General features: G+C 43.9%; 1 pseudogene; it reads left to right on the forward strand.

Annotated features, from left to right (window-relative positions):
* Window positions 2,516–4,313, forward strand: KRT8P1 (keratin 8 pseudogene 1; annotated as a pseudogene).

The raw sequence follows: 4,869 nt of genomic DNA on the forward strand, positions 1-4,869 counted from the left end.
TTGTGAATGTTTAGAAAGTAAAAATATAAAGTAAGAGTCACTCCTTACTCCTAGAGGATCTAGTTCTTGTATCTGCCCATTCCTGTCTCCTCAGCTTCTTCTTCCACAGGTTTGAGCTTCCATGTCTTCAAAGGTACTCAGGTGTTACCGGCTGAAAAGCTGTGTTTCACTGATGCTACCACGTCTCTCTCCAGCCACCACCCTCAAGGTAGCCTTCCTTTCACAAAGTTCTTTAAAGGATATTCTAAATACAGTGTTTTCATGCTCTCACACACACACACACCTTAAAATTCCTGTCATAACCAGCCCCTCCCACACCACATTCATAAATATAAATAAATGAAATAAAATAAAATAAAATAAAATAAAATAAAATAAAATAAAATAAAATAAAATAAAATAAAAATCAGGCTTCCCAAACTACTTTTCTTCTGAAATCTGTCAAGGCTGACCGATGACCTCACCAAATCCAGTAGCTTTTTCTTAACCCTTAGTTTCCAAGGCCTGTCTGTTCTAGTCGACATTATTGACTACTGTCTTCTCAAAATGCTTTCTCCTCTTGGATTCCAGGACACCACATTTCTCTGATTTTCCTCCTCCCTTTACAACTCCAGGACATATATCATATATTCTCTGTCTGAGTACTATATACTTCTACTATGTGAATGAGTACAGTATTGACCACAATTATGTGTATTTTTTCCTTAAAGAAGAGAAGGTAATACAAGGACAATGGAATGACGAGGGAGAGGGACAACAATGTACTTTTTGGCCAATTACACCTTTGTGTGATGTCTGCAAAGCACACCCCATTCTGAGTAGCTAGATGTGTGGTTTAAAGGAGAACTTGGAGACTCACAGGACATAGGAGACATCTGGCCTTCTGAGACCAATTGGGTGCATTCTAAATACCTCCTGAGCCCCCAGCAGGCCTACTAACAGATATGACCTTAGGTAGATTACATTGATTCATAGCCTTTTCCAATAGCTTATTTGTTTTTAACATTATCATTTACTGTGTTTAAGATTTCTATTCAACAGACTTTTTAAAAAAAGTTTTAAACCGTAAGGATATGCTCTGACCATTTTTTGAAATTATCAGGTGTCAGTTTGACAAAATTACCAACTCTGAGTATATTCTTAATATTAAAATTACAAATGTTTTGTCCTTTATTTAGTTATTCAAGTAAGCAGAGGAAGGCACATTCTCTAAAGGCAATTAGAGGAAGCTTGTTGAAAAGATCATTTTGGTTGTTTTCATTCTGTTATGAAATGCCACTTCTGTTATAAAATGTCATTCTGTTCATTTCATTCTCTAACAAACTTCATCCTGTTAGATATCTCAGAACTCAAACTACGAAGAATTTTAAAGCAAATGAGTAAATTGATTGTGAAAACATGATGCTCTGCATAGCACACCGATGGCCTCTGTTCAGAATTGTTTTGTTTCCTAATAATGAAGGTCAATTAAACCATAAAATGATAATCCAAAAGAATCCCCTATGGAAGATTCGAGGAAGGCCCAGAAGAGGGATACTAAAATTGAAAGGGAAGAGCAGCTCTACTGGCCATCTAGAGTAAGTGGGAGAGACAGGCAGTAAATATCCTAAAACCACCTATTAGCCTGCATCCTTCTACATTTCTGGTCCTCTCTTAAGAAGATTAATTGATACCATTAACTTCTTAGGGTTTTTTTTCCTTTTTATGTACATATGTATGTATGTATGATTTTAGAGATGGGTCTTCCTATGTTGCCCAGGCTGGAGGGCAGTGGCTATACACAGATGCAGTCATAACACCCTAGTCTCCAACTCCTGGGCTCAAGTGATCCTCCTGCCTCAGCCTCCCAAGTAGCTAGGACTATGGTGCATACCACTGTGCCCAGCTAACATCCTGTATTTTGGTATATGAGCTTCTTTTTTTCCACTGTAATAATCTGTATTGTCCTTTGACTTAGAAATTCTGCAGTCTCATTTGGAGAATGGGATATGTGTAGATAATAAAATTTGGAATTCTTCCTCTTCCACAAATGTATTATGTAATTATAATAATTTCTATCATTTCTGAATGCTTACTCCATATCAGACACCATGTGAAGCACTTTGTAGACATTATCTCATGTGATCACAACTATTCTACATGGTAGTATTGCCCTCAATTGATTGACAAGAACCTGTGACTCAAAGAAGTAAAAAAAACTTGCCTATTCCCTAGTAGGCAGATTCAATCAATCAATCAATCAATCAATCAACACAAACTCGCCTAGGAAGTAGCTGAGCCAAGATTCCCAATCTGCATTTTTTTTTTTTTACTCTGAAGGAACATGCTTTTCCCAACTAAATTAATATTGCTGTTCACCATATTTCTAATGTATAATCACTGGACACTGGAGTAGACACATATTTTTAGCACCCTAATCCAGATAAGGAACTTTAAATGCTCACCAGCCCAGGCTGTGTATCCCAGCATGTTAGGAACCAGGAGGGAAGTTAGGACCACTAAAAGAAATAACTGGACCAAGAAGCAGCTTCTCCACCCCTTCTGGAATCTCTGCCTGGTTCAGCCCACCTGCCTCCACTCCTGCCTCCACCATGTCCATCAGGGTGACCCAGAAGTCCTACCAGGTGTCACCTCTCTCCCAGGGGCCTTCAGCAGCCACTTCTACACGAGTGGGCCCAGTGCCCTCATCAGCTCCTCAAGCTTCTCCCAAGTGGGCGGCAGCAGCAGCTTCCAGGGTGGCCTGGGTGGAGGCTATGGTGGGGCCAGCAGCATAGGAAGCATCACCGCCTTCACAGTCAACCAGAGCCTACTGAGCCCCCTTAACCTGAAGTGGACCCCAACATTCAGGCCACGTGCACCCAGGAGAAGGAGCGGAACAAGATACTCAACAACAAGTTTGCCTCCTTCATCGACAAGGTACGGTTCCTGGAGCAGCAGAACAAGATGCTGGAGTCCAACTGGAGCCTCCTGCAGCAGCAGAAGATGGCTTGGAGCAACGTGGACAAAATGTTCCAGAGCTATATCAAAAACCTTAGGCGGTAGCTGGAGACTCTGGGCCAGGAGAAGCTGAAGCTGGAGGCAGAGCTTGGCAACATGCAGGGGCTGGTAGAAGACTTCAAGAACAAGTACGAGGATGAGATCAATAAGCGTACAGAGGTGGAGAATGAATTTGTCCTTATAAGAAGGATGTGGATGAAGCTTACCTGAACAAGTTAGAGCTGGAGTCTCGCCTGGAAGGTCTGACTGATGAGATCAACTTCCTCAGGCAGCTGTATGAAGAGATCTGGGAGCTGCAGTCCCAGGTCTGGGACACGTCTGTGGTGCTGTCCATGGACAACAGCTGTTCCCCGGACATGGACAGCCATCGCTGAGGTCAAGGCTTAGTACGAGGAGCTAGCCAAGCGCAGCAGGACTGAGGCTGAGGGCATGTACCAGATCAAGTATGAGAAGCTGCAGAAGCTGGCTGGGAAGCACGGGGATGAACTGCGGCACACAAAAGCAGATCTCCCAGATGAACCAGAACATCAGCCGGCTCTAGGCTGAGATTGAGGGCCTCAAAGGCCAGAGGGCTTCCCTGGAGACCGCCATCACAGTTGCCGAGCAGCTGGGGAGCTGGCCGTTAAAGATGCCAACACCAAGCTGTCCGAGCTGGAGGGTACCCTATAGCAAGCCAAGCAGGACTTGGAGCGTCAGCTGCGTGAGTACCAGGAGCTGATGCACATCAAGCTGGCTCTGGACATCGAGATTGCCACCTACAGAAACCTGCTAGAGGGCGAGGAGAACCGGCTGGAGTTTGGGATGCAGAACATGAGTATCCACATGAAGACCACCAGCGGCTATGCAGGTGGGCTGAGCTCGGCCTAGGGGGACCTCACAACTCCCGGCCTCAGCTACGGCCTGGGCTCCAGTTTTGGTTCTGTCGCGGGCTGTAGCTCCTTCAGCTGCACCAGCTCCACCAGGGTCGTGGTTGTGAAGAAGATCAAGACCCGCAATGAGAAGCTGGTGTCCGAGTTGTCTGACATCCTGCCCAAGTGAACAGCTGCAGCAGCCCCTCCCAGCATACCCTTCCTGCGGCTGCCCCAGAGCCTAAGAGGGAGGCCGCTGTGCAGGGGAGCACAGAGAACAGGAGACCCACCTGAGGCTCAGCCCTAGCCCTCAGCCCACTCACGGGGGAGTTTACTGCCTGGGGACACCCCTTGCCCATGCCTCCAGCTACAAAACAATTCAATTGCTCTGTGTGTGTGTGTGTGTGTGTGTGTGTGTGTGTGTGTGTGTGTGTGTGTGTTCAAAATAAAACCTCAGCTAGCTCTGCCCAAAAAATAAATAAATAACTGAGGACAAACAGCCTTACTTCTCCCCTTCTATGGATAATGGCCCCCACTGTTTATTATAAGATGTGACTTGCCTTAGTAATCAGAGAAAGCTCAATTAGGAAAGAATGCGAAGCAGTGCTATATTTTGGAGAGACACTTTATCCATATAATTTTCTGTGAAAGCCTATTCCTGTAAGCAGGATTTGGAATGTGTTGCTTACTCTCATAATCATCAAAACCATGAAATAAATACATCTTTTATAAACCTACAGCCCAGATTGGCCTCCATCTTCAATTCTAGGCACTCTGGCTAATGCCAGTAAAAAGAAGAAAATTAATTCATGCCTTAATTAGACCAAAATTATTATTTCTAAGTGGATCTCTTAAAGTAAATCTCAAATTGATTTGTGTGTGCGTGTATGTGTGTATGTGTGTGTGTATTTTAAAAGCATAATGAGGTCATATGTTCTCAAATGTGCACATTTTGGCACAAGCAAGTCTACCAGAAGTCTTCTGAGAACATAGCTTATTAGATTATACAATTATTAAAGATTGA

This window comes from Homo sapiens, chromosome 14 (assembly GCF_000001405.40).
Source record: "Homo sapiens chromosome 14, GRCh38.p14 Primary Assembly".
Classification (NCBI taxonomy): domain Eukaryota; kingdom Metazoa; phylum Chordata; class Mammalia; order Primates; family Hominidae; genus Homo; species Homo sapiens.